Raw genomic sequence first — 20,735 nt, forward strand, 5'->3', positions numbered from 1 at the left:
CAGAAGCACAAAAAAAGAGTAAGTCTTCTTCAAATAAAGGCATACCTCATTCTATTGTGCCTCACTTTATGATACACTTCATGGAGATTGCATTTTTCACAAATTGAAGGTTTGTGGCAACCCTGTTTCAAACAAGTCCATTGGTGCCATTTTCCCAACAGCATACACATACTTTGTGTTTCTGTGTCACATCTTGGTAATTCTTGCAATATTTCCAACTTTTTCATTATTACTGTATTTGTTATCATGATCTAGGATCAGTGACCTTTGGTGTTACTATTTTAATTGTTCTGAGGCACCAAAAACCATGCCCAAAGATGGCAAACGTAATTGGTAACTGTTGTGTGTGTTCTGCTTCACTCACCCGTCATTTCCCCGTCTCTCTCCCTTTCCTCAAGCCTTCCCATTCCCTGAGACACAGTAATATTAAAATTAGACCAGTTAACAACCAACCTTACAAGGGCCTCTAAATGAACGTTCAAGTGAAAGGACAAATTTCACACATCTCACTTTCAATCAAAAGCTAGAAGTGGGCCGGGCGCGGTGGCTCACGCCTGTAATCCCAGCACTTTGGGAGGCTGAGGCGGGTGGATCACCTGAAGTCAGGAGTTCGAGATCAGCCTGACCAACATGGCAAAACCCCATCTCTACTAAAAATACAAAAATTAGCTGGGCATGGTGGTGGGAGCCTGTAATCCCAGCTATTCGGGAGGCTGAAACAGTAGAATCTCTTGAACTTGGGAGGCAGAGGTTGCAGTGAGCTGAGATCGTGCCACTGCACTCCAGCCTGGGCAACACAAGTCAAACTCCGTCTCAAAAAAACACCAAAAAAAAAAAAAAAAAAAAAAAGCTAGGAATGATTAAGCTTATGAGGAAGGCATGTCAAAAGCCAAAGGCCAAGATAGGCCAAAAGTTAGCCAAGCTGCAAATGCAGAGGAAAAGTTCTTGAAAAAAATTAAAAGTGCTACTCCAATGAACATAAGAATAAAAGAGTGAATCAGGCTTACTGCTGATGTGAGGCAGATTTTAGTGGTCTAGACAGAAGATCAAATCAGCCACAACATTCCCTTAAGCCAAGGCCTAATCCAGAGAAAGACCTTAACTCTCTTCAATTATATGAAAGCTGAGCAGTGAGGAAGCTGCAGAAGAAAAGTTTGAAGCTAGCACAGGTTTATGAGGTATAAGGAAAGAAGTTGTCCTCATAACATAAAAGGTGCAAGGTGAAGCAGCAAGTTATCCAGATCTAGCTAAGATCATTTGATGAAGGTGGCTACACTAAACAAGAGATTTTCAGTGTAGACAAAACAGCCTTACTAGGAAGAAGATGCCATCTAGGACTTTCACAGCTAGAGAGAAGTCAATGCCTGACTTCAAAGCTTCAAAGGACAGGCTGACTCTCTTGTTAGGGGCTAATGTACCTAGTGACTTTAAGTTGAAGGCAACGCTCATTCATCATTCTGAAAATCCTTAGGATCCATAAGAATTATGCTATATCTCACAATTTGCAATTGCAAAAAAAATATGGAACTGACCTAAATGCCCATCAACCAACAAGTGGATAAAGAAAATGTGGTGTATATACACCATGGAATATTACTTAGCCATAAAACAAAATGAAATAATGGCTTTTGCAGCAACTTGGATGGAGCTGGAGGCCATTCTTCTAAGTGAAGTATCTCTGGAATGGAAAACCAAATATTCTATGTTCTCACTAATAAGTGGGAGCTAAGCTATGAGGGCACAAAGGCATAATAATGATATAATGGACTCTGGGGGCTCTGGGGGGACAGGTGGGAGGGCAGTGAGGGATAAAAGACTACATATTGAAGCCTGGGCATGGTGGCTCATGTCTGTAATCCCAGCACTTTGGGAGGCCGAGGCAGGCAGATCACCTGAGGTCAGAAGTTCGAGACCAGCCTGACCAACATGGAGAAACTCCGTCTCTACTAAAAATACAAAATTAGCCAGGCATGGTGGCACATGCCTGTAATCCCAGCTACTCGGAAGGCTGAGGCAGGAGAATTGCTTGAACCCGGGAGGCGGAGGTTGTGATGAGCTGAGATTGCATCACTGCACTCCAGCCTGGGTGACAAGAGCTAAACTCCGTCTCAAAAAAAAAAAAAAAAAGTATACAGCCATACCACCCTGAAAGCACCCAATCTCATCTGATCAGTAGAAGAAGTCATTGCATATGCGGAGGAAACAGCAAGAGAACTAGAATTAGAAGTGGAGCCTGAATAGCACACTGGAATTCTAATTCAAAAGTTGCAAGTTTCAGTCCTGCTAGCGTCAAAAAAATTGTTTTTGTAAATTTCAATTAAAAAAATTTTTTTTAAAGTAAAGCCTGAAAATGTGACTGGATTGCTATGATCTCATGGCAAAACTTGAATGGATGAAGAGTTCATCCATGTTCATACAGCAGCCATCAACATGGATGAACTTTGTTCTTCTGGATGAACAAATAAAGCGGTTTCTTGAGATGAAACCTACTCCCAGTGAAGATGCTGTGAACATTGCTGAAATGACCATAAAGGATTTACAATATTCCATAAACTTTGTTGATAAGGCAGCAGCAGGGTTTGGGAGAACTGACTCAAGTTTTGAAAAAATTTTGAAAGAAATTACCTGGGTAAAACACTATCAATCGGCGTCCTATGTTACAGAGAAATCTTTTGTGAAAGAAAAAGTCTATTGATGCTGCAAACGTCATTGTTGTCTTTTTTTAAGAAATTGCCACAGCCACCCCAGTCTTCAGCAACCACTACACCTGATTAGCCATCAACATGGAGGCAAGACCCTCTATCAGCAAAAGGACTGTCACTTGCTAAAGGCTCAGATGATTGTTACCATTTTTTAGCAATAAAGATTTTTTTTTTGAGATGGAGTCTCACTCTATCACCCAAGTTGGAGTGCAGTGGCATGATCTTGGCTCACAGCAAACTCTGCCTCTGGGGTTCAAGTGATTCTGCTGCCTCAGCCTCCAGAGTAGCAGGGATTACAGGCATGTGCCACCATGCCTGGCTTTTTTTTTTTTTTTGTATTTTTAGTAGAGGTGGGGTTTCACCATGTTGGCCAGGCGGGCCTCGAATTCCTGACCTCAGTTGATCTGCCTGCCTCAGCTTCCCAAAGTACTGAGATTACAGGTGTGAGCCACCATGCCTGGCCCAATAAAGTATTTTTAATTAAGGCATGTACACATTTTTTTTGCTGTTGTTGTTGTTGTTTTGAGACAGAGTCTCGCTTTGTCACCCAGGCTGGAGTACAGTGGTGCAATCTTGGCTCACTACAGCCTCCACCTCCCAGGTTCAAGCGACTCTCCTGCCTCAGTCTCCCGAGTAGCTGGGACTACAGGCACCTGCCACCACACCCGGCTAATTTTTGCATTTTTAGTGGGACGGGGTTTCACCATATTGGCCAGGCTGGTCTTGAACTCCTGACCTTGTGATCCATCCGCCTTGGCCTCCCAAAGTGCTGGGATTACAGGTGTGAGTCACCGCGCCCAGCCTGTTTTTTAGATATAATGTTACTGCACACTTCATAGACTACACTATAGTATAAACATAACTTTTATATGCACTGGGAAACCAAAAAATTCATATGACTTGCTATTTTGCGACATTAGCTTTATGGCAGTGGTCTGGAACCAAACCTGCCATGAGGCACACCTATACCTAAAATACCATCACTCTCCCTAGAAGTAACCTCAGAAAGCAGTTTAGTAAACATCTTTCCTGAAATTTTTCTATGTATTTACATATAAATAATATTGTACATTGTCTTAGTCTGTTCTGGCTGCTGTGACAATACACCTTATACTGGGTAATTCATAAACAACAAAAAATTATTGCTTATAGTTCTGGAGGCCGGGGAGTCCAAGATCAAGGCACCAGCAGATTCTGTGTCTAGTAAGGGCCTGTTCCGCATAGACACAGGCTTCTCATGGCTTCCTCACTTGGTGGGAGAGGTAAGGCAGCGCCCTTTGACCTCTTAAAGAGCACTAATCTCCTTCAATACCAACATTACAATTTACCCTTTCCACCAGTGTATCAGTGAACTCCTGTTCCTGTATTAGATACAAGTTAAGCAACCCTAATCCACAAATCTGAAATGCCCTAAAATCCAAAACTTTTTGAGTGCTGCCATGGTGTTACAAGCAGAAAATTTCATACCTGACACATTTTTTTCATTTTATTAATAGTATGTTTTTTTTTACCATTAAGTACATATGTGTGAATAGGCATAAGATGATTGCTAATTGGTAGCATATAAATTCAGAGTCAGCAACAATGGTTATGCCAAACAACCACAGAATGTCCACATAGGTGGATGCAATCTCATGATAACAAGGTGACACCTATGCTTCTGATGGCTCAGTGTATATAAACTTTGTCTCATGCAAAAAAATTATTAAAAATATGGTATAAAATTACCTGCAGGCTATATGTATAAGGTGCATATGAAACATAAATGAATTTTGTGTTTAGACTTGGGTCCTATCCCCAAGACATCTCATTATGTATATCCAAATATTCAAAAATCAAAAAAAAAAAAATCTAAATGTTTCTGGTCCCAAGCATTTCAAATAAAAGATAATCAACCTGTGTCATCAATCTTTTTCATTTATATGACAGATTTAAAAAATGCCATCTAAATTAATTTGTATATTTGCTTTAGTAAGAGAATTTTATAATCTTTATTTTTCAAGAGTTTATCACTGTTGTTGTGAGAGCTACTGGAATATTAAGTTATATTTATTTTACTTAATTCCAGTCTATTCCCAGCCCTGAGGCATCATCTTTTCTTCATTGTAAAAAGTGGGACATTGTTTTCAATGTAAAATAATATGTCTAGGTATGATGTAATTAATACCCACTATTCCATCCAATGTTATTTTTTAGTGGAATGTTATTTTTATTAAACAACCCCACCCCACTCTACTCACCCAAAAAAGGTTAAAACATTCTCAACTTAAACCATTTCAATACTTTTCCAATTCAATCTCAGCTGTACCACTACTGACTGGAAAGATTTTCATCCAAGCTTTTGCTGATTTATTTATTTATTTAATTAATTAATTTATTTATTTATTTATTTTGAGACAGAGTCTCACATTGTCACCCAGGCTGGAGTGCAAAGGCACGATCTTGGCTCACCACAACCTCCACCTCCTGGGTTCAAGTGATTCTCCTGCCTCAGCCTCCTGAGTAGCTGGGACTACAGGCATGCGCCACCACACCTGGCTAACTTTCGTATTTTTTGTAGAGATGGGGTTTCACCATGTTGGCCAGGTTGGTCTTGAACTCCTGACCTCAGGTGATCCACCCACCTCAGCCTCCCAAAGTGCTGGGATTACAGGCGTGAACCACTGTGCCCGGCCAAGCTTTTGCTTTCTAATGGCTGATTATACTTTCAAAATACTTGAATAAATTATCCATTCATTTCCCTATGGAAAACAATGATTTAATCTAAACAGCAACAAGGTTCTCAAAAATATTCCAGAAGTTTCATCTTCACAAATTACTGGAAAACATAATTATTATTCTGCCACATTTACCTTTGAAAACAGAAAAAAAAAGACAACAGAAAATCTGAATGAATTATAATAGCAAACAAGATGCCAAACTCCACACTAAAAATTACAGTATGCCCAATTCAACTGAGGAGTAGTGACATAATTACCTTAGTGCTCCACAACACAGATGGATGCACTTTTTCTTAATCTATTTTATTAAAACTGCAACCTAGAACAACTTATTAAATACACACTAGGCAATAGTGCAAACATAAACAAATGCATTTATTTCACTGATACGTGCAATGCTGCTTTTTTGCAAAGGGCGTATATTATCACAAAACATTTGCCATCTATGATAACAATAGCTGCCATGAACCTAGGAGAAAAGTGAAAAAAGTTAGCATCTGTTATGCCTGTATTTAAGACTTAATGAGGCCAGGCACAATGGCTCACACCTGTAATCCCAGCACTTTGAAAGACCAAGGCAGGCGATCACTTGAGGTCAGAAGTTTGAGACCAGTCTGGCCAACATGGTGAAACCCTGTCTCTACTGAAGTACAAAAATTAGCTGGGCATGGTGGTGCCTGCCGGTAATCCCAGCTACTCAGGGGGCTGAGGCAGGAGAATCGCTTGAACTTGGAAGGTGGAGGTTGCAGTGAGCCGAGATCACACCACTGCACTCCAGCCTGGGTGACAGAGCAAGACTGTCAATTAATGCATTTGAAGTTACTACCAACAGAACTAACAAGAGTTACTGCTCAATTAAACTAGAGTAAATACAAAAAACTTAGCTTATCATTCTAGTTCTACTACCAGCCACCCATTGACCAGTAAAAGCCTTCTTCACTGAGACTATATTCTGGAAGATGCAGGGCACTGGTGCATCTTTTTATTTTGTCTTAGAAAAAGACTTTCTAAGTCCTTTTCCGGTTCTAAGAGTTCATTTCAGAAAAATAAAATATAAAGGTACTTTGTACATTTTGGAGAAACAAGGTCATCCTGAGTGTTTTTGTTTTTTGGTTTTTGTTTTTCAGATGGAGTTTTCACTCTTGTTACCCAGGCTGGAGAGCAATGGCGCGATCTCAGCTCACTGCAACCTCTGCCTCGCAGGTTCAAGTGATTCTCCTGCCTCAGCCTCCCTAGTAGCTGGGATTACAGGCATGTGCCACCACGCCTGGGTAATTTTGTACTTTCAGTAGAGATGGGATTTCACCATGTTGGTCAGGCTGGTCTTGAACTACTGACGTCAGATGACCCGCCTGCCTCAGCCTCCCAAAGTGCTGAGATTACAGGTGTGAGCCACCATGCCCAGCCCTGAGTGGTTTTTAATGAGACAGTATCCTATATTAGTCTCATTCATTTAAGCAAATCATAATCTAAAATGTCCAATTGTCATTATTTCATTCAGATCATTATTTATTGAGCAAAGTATTTTGCGAGGACACAGCAAGAGGCACAAAGATGAACAAGACATAGTCTTTGCCCACTAACACCTTATAATTTAGTAATGAAGATAAAACAACTATTCAAATAACCATAATGTGGCTGGGAGCAATGGCTCATGCCTGAAATCCCAGCATTTTGGGAGGCCAAGGTGGGTGAATTGCTTGAGCTCAAGCAATCTTGAACCTTGTCAGGTTCAAGACCAACCTGGACAATATGGCAAAATTTTGTCTCTACAAAAAATTTAGTTTTTTAAAATTAAATTTAAAAAAATTACTTGGGCATGGTGGCACAAGCCTGTATTCTCCACTAGTCAGGAGTCTGAGGTGGGAAGATCACTTGTGCCCAGGAGGTCAAAGCTACAGTGAGCGAGCCATGATCATGCCACTGCACACCAGCCTAGATGATAGAGCAAGACCTTGTCTCAAAAAAAAAAAAAAGAACCACTGGGCATTGTGGCACGTGCCTGTAGTCCCAGCTACTCAGGAAGCTGAGGCAGGAGGATCATCTGAGCCCAGGAGTTCTGGGCTATAGTGTGCTACATGACCATCGAGTGTCCACAATAAGTTCAATATCAATATGGTAACACCAACAGGTTGCCTAAGGAGGGGTGAACCAGGCCAGGTTAGAAACAGAGCAGGCCAAAACTCCCATGCTGACCAGTAGTGGGACTGGGCCTGTGAACAGCACTGCAGTCCATGCTGGGCAATGTAGCGAGACCCTGCCTGTTAACAAAAAAGAAAAAACAAAAATAGCCATAATACAAGGCAGAAAAAAAAAAAAGCAAGGGCTACAAGAACATATTAACAGGGATTCAATTACATTAGGTTGGGAAGTGGAAAGGGCTCAACATAGGCTTCAAGGAAGATTTACTTAGGGTAGGAAAGCGCTAACTATTCTTCACAAAATAGTTTGGCTGAATGCATTTTTTTTTTTTTTTTGAGACAGAGTCTTCCTCTGTTGCCCAGGCTGGAGTGCAGTGGTGCCATCTTACCTCACTGCAACTTCCGCCTCGCAGGTTCAAGCGATTCTCCTGCCTCAGTCTCCCAAGTAGCTGGGACTACAGCTGTGTACCACCACACCTGGCTAATTTTTGTATTTTTAGTAGAGATGGGGTTTCACCATGTTGGCCAGGCTGGTCTTGAACTCCTGACCTCAGGTGATCCCCCTGCCTTGGCCTCCCAAGGCATGATTACAGGTGTGAGCCACCTCGCCTGGCCTGAATGCATTATCTTAGAGCCCTCTAACATTTTATTGCTAGATGATAATACATACATGAAATTATTCGAGGAATGGGATAAGCTACTAGAAATACAATGTGTACTGTACAACTAAGATACTGCTCAAAACATAACACTATATTAGATTTTAATTATGCCAAATCATTTTTTAAACATCTCTATAGCTTTTTTAGATGAAATGAATATTTCAAGTTCTTCATTGAAGACACTAGAATGACTGCCAAAATACAGTAGAGATTAATGTTCATGTCCAGAAAAGATACATTTCATAGCTTAAAGTGACATTAGTGACACAATAAATGAGAAAAGCTCACACTTCAGCTAAGCCTGTTCTGAGAAGTGAGTATCTTCCAATAGCAGAGAAAGCTATTTTAAATGATCTGGATGAGAATGTAAAGTTAATTTAAGTTACACAAGTCTCTACAGTATAAAATGATAATTGTAGAAACAAGTATCATCTCACAGAAATGTTAGATTTGAGACAGAAGCTTTGCACATGTTCTGTTAAGGAAAGATGCTATCAAAAAGCAGGTCAACATTCCACAGTACTTCACCTTCTGATACTCTCTGAAACAGTCCTTTATCCACCAAGAACCTCCATGGTTCACCTTCTTAAAACACCATACAGCCTTTTTACTGCAACAATAAAACCTGAAACTTAACGTCTGGTGAAGGAAGAAGTAGTAAAGGGTGAAAATCTGCCCTTCCAAATAACTGCACAGAAAAACAAAATATGGAAAAGAAAAAGAAAAAATAACCAAAGATACACTTATTTAAAGCAAAAACCAACCATTCAGGTAATTACAGAAACAATGATGTCTAAAACCTCTATAATGTATTAATGTGTTCAGATCATAAATAAGGTTTCAATATGTAAAATTTCCATAAAATATCATCTCCAATTTGATTTTCAAGTCTCGGAAATTAAGTAGCTATAGAGCTTTAATAGTTAATACATACTTTTTTTTTTTGGAGACAGGGTCTCGCTCTGTTGCCCAAGCTGGAGTGCAGTGGTGCAATGATGGCTCACTGCAGCCTCCACCTCCTGGGCTCAAGCAATGTTCCCACTTCAGCCTCTGAGTAGCTGGGACTACAGGCACATGCCACACACCTGGCCATTTTTTGAAGCGCTGGGGTTTCACTATGTTGCCCAGGGTGGTCTTGAACTGCTGAGCTCAAGTGATCTGCCTACCTCAGCCTCCCAAAGTGCTGGGATTATACGTGTGAGCCACCATTCTGGACCTAATAAATACTTTTTAATGTACCTAAGAGCCATTAAAAAACTACAGGATGAAAAAATGAGCTATCAATAAGGAAAGTTTAAACACTGCTCCAAAGGAAATTACAGCCAAGAAAGTATTGACTTGCACAAGGAAAAGGTCAGGGTGGGTAGAAGCAAAAGGACAGAGGAATAGTCTGGAAGAAAGCATTTGTGGAAAACCATTTTTTACTCTCCACCTCTCTCAAACATCTTTGGTTTTAGGTTTTTTTTTTTGTTTTTTTTTTTGAGACAGAGTTTCCCTCTGTCCCCCAGGCTGGCGTGCAGTGGTGCAATCTTCACTCACTGCAACCTCCACCTCCCGGTTCAAGCGATTCTCACCCCTCAGCCTCCCGAGCAGCTGGGATTACAGGTGCCCACCACCATGCCCAGCTAATTTTTGTATTTTTAGTAAGTTCATTTTTTATCTAAAGCTAAGATACATTTCAACTTCAAACCCTGTTTTAGAGTTCAAACATTTTATCCTCACTTTGTATACCTTGTAGCAACATCAGCAGTGACAGAATCTTAGTATATAACATAAAATTTCATTTTAGGCCAGGCGCGGTGGCTCACGCCTGTAATCCCAGCACTTTGGGAGGCCGAGGCAGGCAGATCACCTGAGGTCAGGAGCTCGACACCAGCCTAGCCAACATGGTGAAACCCTGTCTCTACTAAAAATACAAAAATTAGCCAGGCATGGTGGCGTGTGCCTGTAATCCCAGCTACTTGGGAGACTGAGGCAGGAGAATCACTTGAACCAGTGCACTCCAGCCTGGGCGACAGAGCAAGACTCTTTCTCAAAAAAAAAAAAAAAATTCATTTTAAATGTTTCTGTTTAAACAATTCTTACTATAGGGTTAATCCAATAAGGTGCTGTTAACCAGTTAACCAATATAGTAATCCCTCAGTATCTGCAAGGGATAGGTTCCAGGACCCTCATAGACACCAAAATCCCAGATGCTCAAGTATCTTATGTAAAATGGTATAATATTTGCATTCAAACTATGCACATCCTGTCATATACTCTAAACCATCCCTAGATAACTTATAATACTTAATACAATGTAAATACTACGTAAATAGTTATTATACATTGTATTTTTAATTTGTATAACTTTTCATTGTATTGTTTTTATTTTTTCTTTTTTTTTTTCTTTTTTTTTTTTTTTTTTTGAGACAGGGTATCGCTCTGTTGCCTGGGCTGGAGTGCAATGGCATGGTCATAGCTCACTGCAGCCTCTCTCTTCCAGGCTCAAGCAGTTCTCCTGACTCAGCCTCCAAGTAGCTTGGACTACAGGTGCACACCACCACACCCAGCTAATTTTTATTTTTAGTAGAGATGAGGTCTTGCTATGTTGCTTAAGCTAGTCTCGAACTCCTGAGCTCAAGCCACACTCCCACCTTAGCCTCCCAAAGTTCTGGAATTACGGTTGTGAGCCACCATGCCCAGCATCAAATATTTTTAATCCATGGTTGGTTGAATCCATGAATAAAGAACCCATGGATAAAGGCCAGGCACTGTGGCTCACACCTGTAATTCCAGCACTTTGGGAGGCCAAGGCGGGTGGATCACCTCAGGTCAGGAGTTCAAGACCACCCTGACCAACATGGTGAAACCCCATCTCTACTAAAAATACAAAAATTTAGCCGGGCATGGTGGTGCATGCCTGTAATCCCAGCTACTCGGGAGGCTGAGGCAGGAGAATCACTTGAACTCAGGAGATGGAGGTTGCAGGGAGCCAAGATCGTGCCACTGTACTCCGGCCTGGGCAACAGAGCGAGACTCCATCTCAAAAAAAAAAAAACCCATAGATATGAATAGCTGACTGTATTTGATTATTCACTTGGGATTTCCTAGACCTAAAGGCTCCTGGAATACTAATTTAAATCTTAATCATCAAACCAAAATATGAAATCAGTTTGTTTGGTTGAGGTTTTTCTACGAAATTTGTGTGTTTTAAAGACAACAGGTGTAGTTGAAGACTATGGCACATGCCTATATCTCTCTCTTCCATTATTTTCTCCAAAAACAATGCAAAAACCATAAGGGGAAAATAACACTGTGTGAAAACCGCATCCCTAGCATGTTTTGAAGACAGGATGCCTAAACTTCAAAATAATACTAAGCAGAAAGAGAAAAAGCACCAAATCTCAGGGCATGACTTCTCATGCTCCTCCCCTACACCTTTCACCTAAAGGCTCTTTGAGCAAAGGCAGTGAGCAAAGGCAGACTGAGAAAAATGTCATGAAGAATAAAGAAGAGAACTAGCAATAGAGCCTAAGGTTAATAGAAAAGTATCACAAGTAAAAGTAAGTCTACATTAACTCTGAAAATACTCTTTATCAAAAGTGTCTATAATCCCAGTGCCTTGGGAGACTGAGGTAAGAGGATTGCTTGAGTCCAGGAGTATAAGACTAGCCAATACAGCAAGACCCCACATTTACAAAAAATAAAAAATTAGCCAAGCATGGTGGTGTGTGCCTGTAGTCCTAGCTACTCAGGAGGCTAAGGTGAGAGGATTTCTTGAGCCCAGGAGTTTGAGGTTATAGTGAGGAATCATGCCACTACACCCCAGCCTGGACAACAAGAGTGGCAGCATGTCTCAAAAAAAAAAAAAAAAAAAAATAGGCCAGGCGCAGTGGCTCACACCAGTAATCACAGCACTTTGGAAGGCCAAAGCACACAGATCACTTGAAGCCAGGAGTTCAAGATCAGCCTGAGCAACATGGTGAAACCCTGTCTCTACTAAATATACAACGACAACAACAACAAAATTAGCTGGACATGGTGGTGCACGTCTGTAATCCTAGCTACCTGGGTGTCTGAGGCATGAGAATGGCTTGAGCCTGGGAGGCGGAGGTTGCAGTGAGCTGAGATCGCACCACTGCACTCCAGCCTAGGTGACAGAGTGAGACTCTATCATAAATAAATAAATAAATAAAACAAATAAATAAATAAATAAAATTTTAATTTAATAAAATACTATTTAAGCAAGGTCTCTAAGCCACTTCTTTGAGAGAAAAACACTTTTAAACTGAGGCTTCTCCTGTGTGATGGGTAGAGCGTGGGTCAATAAACTTCTGTCTTTTTCTTGTTAATCTGATTTTTGTTTTGGAGAGTGACATGGTTTGGATTTATGTCCCCACCTAAATCTCATGTTTAATTGTAATTGCCAGTGTTGGAGGAGTTGCCTCATGGGAGGTGACTGGATCACGGGGGGCAGATTTTCCCCTCGCTGTTCTGTGACAGTGAGTGAGTTCTCATGAGATCTGGCTGTTTAAAAGTGTGTAGTACTTCCCCCTCTTCTCTCTCTCCTGCTCTGGCCATGTGAAGACGAGCCTGCTTCCCCTTTACCTTCTGCCATAATTGAAAGTTTCCTGAGAACTCCCCAGCCATGCTACCTGTACAGCCTGCAGAACCGTGAGTCAATTAAACCTCTTTTCTTCATAAATTACCCAGTCTGAGGTTTTTTTTTTTATAGCAGTGCAAGAATGGACTAATAGAGTGTCTCAACTAAGAATCTATGAGGGAAAGGAAAAAAAACAACTTACATTTTCTGCCCAATTACACATACTTTAGCTCTAAAGCCAGTACCTTCTTGAATGAAGAAATACCAAAGGCATTTCCACTAAGAATAGGAACAATGCAAGTATGGTCACTATTTCCACCACTGTTCAACATAGTATAATAGGAATTGGTTAGTGTAGTTAGACAACAAAACTCAGTTAGACATAAAAATTGGTAAAGAGGAAGTAAAACTATTTCTATTCGAAAATGATACGATAGTAAACCTGGAAAACACAGTTTCCCAAACCATGGCACTATTGGCATTTTGACGAGATAATGCTTGGCTGTGGGGGGCTGTCCTATGCATCGTAGGATGTTTAGCACCACCTCTGGCTTTCACATGCTAGATGCCGGCAGCACCATCTCCACCCAGTTATGACAACCAAAAATGTCTTTAGACATTAACAAGCTCCCCTTGGGGGAAAAATCAGTCCAGGTTGAGCCAATGCCTTGAAGAATTCATTGTAAAACTAACTCAAACAACAAAAAATCCCACTAAGGTGGCAAGTAATGAAATTAACATAGAGAAATCAATAGCCTTCATGTATAAAAACAATAACCTGTTACAGGACATAATGGGCTGGGCACGGTGACTCACGCCTGTAATCCCAGCACTTTGGGAGGCCGAGGTGGGTGGATCACCTGAGGTCAGGAGTTTGAGACCACCCTGGCCAACATGGTAAAACCCCGTCTCTACTAAAAATACAAAAAATTAGCTGGGCGTGGTGGCAGGCGCCTGTAATCCCAGCTACTCAGGAGGCCAAGGCAGGAGAATTGCTTGAACCCAGGAGGCGGAGGTTGCAGTGGGCCGAGATTGCGTCACTGCACTCCAGCCTGGGCGACTGACTGAAACTCCGTCTCAGGGAAAAAAAAAAAAGGACATAATGGTAGTGGAAATCTCAGTTACAACAGCAACACATTAGACCAAATAGGAATAAACAATTCTAACTGAGGAAATGCTTCTTCTGAAGACTCAAATGGAGGGTACATTTTACTTAGACAAGGTAACTCAACATCATAAACCCTTTTTGCTAAGCAAATGTATAGATTTAATGTAGTCTCAGTAAAAATACCAATATGCTTTATTTGTTATGGAGTTAAACAAGTGCATACGAAAAACAAACATGGAAAAATAGCCAGAAAAATACTGAAGGAAAAAAAAACCCTTAGAGAATGGGGGTGGGGAATAGCCCTATAAGACATTAAAACATATAATAAAGCCCTTCTAATTAAGAGTAGGGAACTATGGTATTAATGAATACAAAAATAGGTCAATGGAACTGAATAGAAAGACCAGAAATAGACTGAAATACATAAAGAAATTTGATAAATGATAAAACCATAGGAGCAAAGATAGATTTTTTAATAACTAATATTTTTAAACGATCATTAGACTAAAAGCTAGTGCTTTTGTAATTTTGGTTTATTAACGCCATATTTTGTTTCCTACACAATTTAAAAGACTAATGCATTCCAAAAAATTATTAGTTTATCACACTGTATTTGGGTTTCAGGCTGCAATACACTAAAACGCCTGTGAACAGCCCCTCATTCAAGCCTGTGCAACATAGTGAGATACTGTCAGAAAGAAAAAAAAAAATCTACCAGCATATAAGTCTCTCCTTATCAGTAATTACTTTAAATATAAATGGATCAAGCTCTCCAATCAAAAGACATACTGGCAAAACAGATTTTTTTTTAAACATGACTTAACTACGTACTGTCTATAACAGACTCACTTTAGATCCAAAGACACAAGGAAGCTGAACATAAAAAGATGGAAAAAGATATTCCATGCAAATGGTAACCAAAAGAGAGCAGGCGTGGCTATACTAATATCAAACAAATAGACTTTAAATCAAAAAAGTTTACAAGAGACAAAAAAGCACATTATATATCAATAAAAGGTTCAAAACAGCAAAAAGATATAATAATTATCAACATTTATACACTTAATGACAGGCCATCAAAATATGAAGCAAAACTGACAAAAATGAAGGTAGAAATAGACAGTTCTAGAATAATAGGTAGAGACTGCAAACCTTGCTCTCGATAATGGATAGAACAACCACGTAGAAGATAAGTAAGAAAACAGAAGACAGGTCGGGTGCAGTGGCTCACACCTGTAATCCCAGCACTTTGGGAGGCCGAGGTGGGCGGATCACGAGGTCAGGAGTTCGAGACCAGCCTCCTGGCCAGTGTGGTGAAACCCCGTCTCTACTAAAAATACAAAAAATTAGCCATGCATGGTGGGGTGTGCCTGTAATCCCAGCTACTCAGGAGGCTGAGGCAGGAGAATTGCTTGAACCCGGGAGGCGGAGGTTGCAGTGAGCTGAGATCGCGCCACTGCATTCCAGCCTGGGAGACAGAGTGAGACACGGTCTCAAAAAATAAAATAAATAAATAAATAAATAAAAATTAAAAAAAAAAAAAACAGAAGACAAACAACACAAGTAAACCAACCAGATACAATGGACACCTACAGAACACTCTACCCAACAACAGCATACACATTCTTCTCGAGGGTACGTGGAACATTTACCAGAATGAGCTAAAAGTTAGGCCACAAATTAAGTCTCAATAGATTTTGAAACATAGATTACTTATAAATTATCTTTTCTGACCACAACACGATAAAGTTAGAAATCAGTAACAAAAGTAAAACTGGAAAATTCATAAATTTGTGAAAATTAACAATACACTCTTAACCAATGAATCAAAGAAGCACTCACAAAAGAAATTAGAACATACTTAGAGATGAATGAAACAAAAACAAAACATGTGGGATGCAGCAAAAGCAGTGCTAAGGGGGAAATTTAAAGGTACAAAATGAGTACATTAAAAGCACAAGAAAGATCACAGCTGAACAACCTAACTTTACAACTCATGGAACTAGAAAAAGAAGAACAAACTAAATCTAAAGTTAGCATAAGGAAGATAATAATAATGATTAGAGCAGAAATGAATGAAAAAGAGAAAAAAATAGAGAAAAATCAGTAAAACCAAAAGCTGGTTATTTGAAAAAAATAAAAAAAATCAACACACCTTTAGCTAGATGTACTAACAAGAAAGAGAGAAGCCTTGGCTGACCAAAATCAGAAATGAAAGTGGGGATATTACTACAGATTTTACAGAAATAAAAGGGATTATAAGACAGTACTATGAACAACTGTATACCAACAAATTGGGAAACCTAGATAAGATGGACCAATTCCTAGAAACACAGAAACTACCATGATTAAATCACCCCAAATTAGAATGAAAGGGTCTCTAATTAGTAGATTAAATCAGTAGTCAGAATTCTCCCAGTAAAGGCCAGGTGCGGTGGCTCACGCTTGTAATCCCAGCACTTTGGGAGGTCAAGGCAGGCAGATCACTTGAGCACACCAGACCGAGCAACATGGCTAAACCCCATCTCTACCAAAAATACAAACATTAGCCAGGCGTGGTGTGTGCGCCTGGAATCTCAGCTACTCGAGAGGCTGAGGCAGGAGGATTGCTTGAACCCAAGAGGCAGAGGTTGCAGTGAGCCAACATTCAACACTGGACTCCAGCCTGGGCGACAAAGTGAGGCCCTGGTTTTTTTGTTTTTTTTTTTTTGAGACAGAGCCTCGCTCTGTCATCCAGGCCGGAATGCAGTGGCCCGATCCTGGCTCACTGCAACCTCCACCTCCCAGGTTCAAGCGATTCTCCTGCCTCAGCCTCCTGAGTAGCTGGGATTACAGGCACCTGCCATCATGCCTGGCTAATTTTTGTATTTTTAGTGCAAACGGGGTTTCACATGTTGGTCAGGCTGGTCTCAAACTCCTGACCTCGTGATCTGCCTGCCACAGCCTCCCAAAGTGCTGGGATTACAGGTGTGGAGCCACCATGCCCAGCCTGAGACCCTGTTTCAAGGAAAAAAAAAAGAATTCTCCCAACAAAGAAAATTCCTGGTCCAGATGGTTTCACTGGTGAATTCTACTAAACATTTAAAGAAAAACTAACACCAATCCTACTAAGAACATTTCCACAAGATTGAAGAAGAGGAAACACTTCCTAACTCATTCTTTGAGGCCAATATTACACTAATATCAAAGCCAGACAAAGACACTACAAGAAAACTATAGACCAATATCCCTTATGAATACTGGTGTAAAAATCCTAAACAAAATACCGGCAAACCAAATGCAGCAGCATAAAAAAACACTTAGACACCATGACAAAGTGGGATTTATTCCTAGAATCCAAGGATGGTTCAACAGATGAAAACTAATTAATGCAATATACAACATTAACAGAATGAAGAAAAATCTACATGGTCATCTCAATTCATGCAGAAAGAGCATTTCCCAAAATTCCACACACTTTTCTTTCTTTTTTTTTTTTTTTTGAGATGGAGTTTCACTCTTGTTGCCCAGGCTGGAGAGCAATGGCGCAATCTCGGCTCACTGCAACCTCTGCCTCCCGGGTTCAAGCGATTCTCCTGCCTCAGCCTCCCAAGTACCTGAAATTACAGGCACCTGACACCATGCCTGGCTAATTCCTTTTGTATTTTTAGTAGAGACGGGGTTTCACCTTGTTGGCCAGGCTGGTCTTGAACTCCTGACCTCAGGTGATCCACCCACTTCGCCCTCCCAAAGTGCTGAGATTACAGGCATGAGACACCATGCCCACCCAATTCCATACTCTTTCATAATAAAAACACTTAACTAGGAAGAGAAGGAAACTATCTCAAAATAAGCCATATATGGAAAACCCAGAGCACACATTGCACTCAATGGTAAAAAACTGAAAGCTTTTCCTTTAAGATCAAGAACAAGGCAAGGATGTCTACTTTCACTGCTTTTATTCAACATAGTACTAAGTTCTAGCAAGACCAATTAGGGAGGCAATAAAGAAACAAAAAGCAGCCAGGCGTGGTGGCACACACCTGTAATCCCAGCACTTTGGGAGGCTTAGGCAGGCGGATCACTTGAGGTCAGGAGTTCAAGACCAGCCTGGCCAACATGGCGAAACCCTGGCTCTAATCGCTTGAACCTGGGAGATGGAGGTTGTAGTGAGCCAAGATCGTGCTACTGTACTACAGTCTGGGCGACAGTCGGACTCTGTCTCCAAAAAAAAAAAAAACCAAAAAGCATCTAAATTGGAAAGGAAGAAGTAAAATTATCAAATTATCTCTTCACAGACGACATGATCTTATATGTAGAAAATCCTAAAGATTGCACCAAAAAACTGTTAGAACTAATAAATGAATTCAGCAAGATGTTTTGCAGGATACAAAGTCAATATGCAAAACTGAACTGCATTTCTATACACTAGTGATAAACAATTGGAAAAGGAAATTACAAAAACAATTCCGTTTACAATGGCACCAAAAATAATAAAATCTTTAGGTATTAACCAAGGAAGTAAAAAAACTTGTACAATGAAAACTACAAAACACTGTTGAAAGAAATTAAAGATAGGAATAAGTAGAAACATACCCCAAGCTCGTGGATTGGAAGACTTAATACTGTTAAGATACAATACTAGTCAAAGTGATCTACAGATTCAATGCAATCCCATCAAAATCCCAATGACATTGTTTGAAGAAATAGAAAAACCCATGTTAAAATTCATACAGAATCTCAAGAGACTGAATAGCCAAAATAAGCTTGAAAAAGAGAAACAATAAGGGGATCTCACACTTCCTGATTTCAGAACTTATTACAAAGCTTGAGCAATCCAAAACAGTGTAGTACTAGCAGAAGGGCAAACATATAGACCAATGGAATAAAGTCCAGAAACAAGCCCTCACATACGTGGTCACATGATTTCTGACAAGAGTGTCAAGATCATTCAATGAGGGAAAGGACAAATATAAGCATACTGAAGTATCAACAAGAAGATCCACATAAAAAGAAAGCACTATAAATGGTGCTGGACAAACTGGGTATCTAGATGCAAAAGAGAAAGTTGAACCCTTACTTAACACCACATACAAAAATTAACTCAAAATAGATGAAAGGCCTAAATGTAACACCTAAAATCATAAAACTCCTAGAAAACCTAGATAGGGAAAAAGCTTCATGACACTAGATTTGGCAATGATTTCTTTGGATATGATTCCAAAGGCAAAGGCAACAAAAGAAAAAAATAGACAAATTAGACTTCATGAAAATTTAAAAATTTATCCATCAAAAGACACTATCAATGGAGTAAAAAGATAGCCAGGTGTGGTGGCTCACATCTGCAATCCCAGCACTTTCAGGGACCGAGGTAGGAGGACTGCTTGAGGCCCAGAGTTCAAGTCCAGCCTGGTCAACATAGCAAGACCCTGTCTCTACAAAAAATGTTTAGAATGTTTTCTTTAATTAGCTGGACATGATGGTGCACCTGTAGTCCCAGCTACTGGGGAGGCTGAGGAAGGACGATCACTTGAGCCCAGGAGGTTGAGGCTGCAGTAAGCCAAGACTGTGCTACTGCATTCCAGCCTGGATGACAAAGTGAGACCCTGTCTCAAAAAAAGTACAATCCAAAAAAAAAAAAAAGATGAACCAATGAAAAATGAGAAAACATCAAAAAGAAAATCGAATACAAGACTTAGGTATGATACATTTATATAAGCATATTGAAGTATCAACAAGAAGATCCATATAAATTTATGAACACTGTCCTTATAAAGAAACGAGCTGAAATTCCGTATTTTTCCATGTGTAAATCCAAGAATAGAGACCTAGTGGGAGAAATGATCATGCCTGTACATAAGACCATATATCAGGCTGGGCGCGGTGGCTCACATCTGTAATCTTAGCACTTCGGGGAGGCCAAGGCAGGCAGATCACTTAAGGTTAGGAGTCTGAGACCAGCCTGGCCAACATGGAGAAACCCCGTCTCTACTACAAATACAAAAATTAGCCGGGCAGGGTGGCACATGCCCGAAGTCCCAGCTACTCTGGAGACCGAACCAGGAGAATCGCTTGAACTCAGGAGACGGAGGTTGCAGTGAGCCAAGATCGCATCACTGCACTCCAACCTGGGTGACAGAGACTCTGTCTCAAAAAAAAAAAAAAAAAGAAAAAAAGAAAAAAAAAAAAGACCATATACATCAAAGATAAGAGCAGTATTTGGAGGAATAATGCCAAAATGATAAGCAGAAATACAGGCAGAATCTGGAAAAATGGCTAACATAGCTATTTCATTCATGCCAATCTAAACAACCACTTCTTCCACACTTCTGACTACTTTCCTCACAAAAACAAAGCTCTTGGTCCTGCTAATTGTAGGAAATAACTTTTTGCTATCTTTAAGTAAACCTGTGAAGCATGCCACAAAGGTCTGGACAAGCTAAAGGAAGATATCTCAATTTCTAGAAAAGATTTATCTTCTCACACGCTACCACTGGTTAGCTCCCTTTCCCATAGAGGCTTTTTAAAAAATTTTGGATGAAAACATTCTAGGCCAGGTGCAGTGGCTCTCACCTATAATCCCAACACTTGGGGAAGCTGAGGAGGAAGGATGGCTTGAGCCCAGTTGTTCAAAACTAGTCTGGGCAACACAGTGAGGAGACTGTCTCCACAATAAAAAAATTTTTTTCTTTTTTTTTTTTTTTTTTGAGACAGAGTCTTGCTCTGCTGCCCAGGCCGGAGTGCAGTGGCACAATCTTGGCTCACTGCAACCTCTGCCTCCCAGGTTCAAGTGATTCTCCCGCCTCAGCCTCCCCAGTAGCTGGGATTACAGGCGCCC

At 40.4% G+C, this 20,735-nt stretch overlaps 1 protein-coding gene and 1 pseudogene across 22 annotated transcripts in view; one reads left to right on the forward strand and one right to left on the reverse strand.

The window, feature by feature from the left end:
* The window catches only part of MICU1 (mitochondrial calcium uptake 1), a 258,740-nt gene that overhangs the window by 208,060 nt on the left and 29,945 nt on the right, over positions 1-20,735 (reverse strand). The window lies entirely within an intron of this gene.
* Positions 7,404-7,687, forward strand: RN7SL840P (RNA, 7SL, cytoplasmic 840, pseudogene; annotated as a pseudogene).

The sequence above is a fragment of the Homo sapiens genome, chromosome 10 (assembly GCF_000001405.40).
Source record: "Homo sapiens chromosome 10, GRCh38.p14 Primary Assembly".
Classification (NCBI taxonomy): Eukaryota; Metazoa; Chordata; class Mammalia; order Primates; family Hominidae; genus Homo; species Homo sapiens.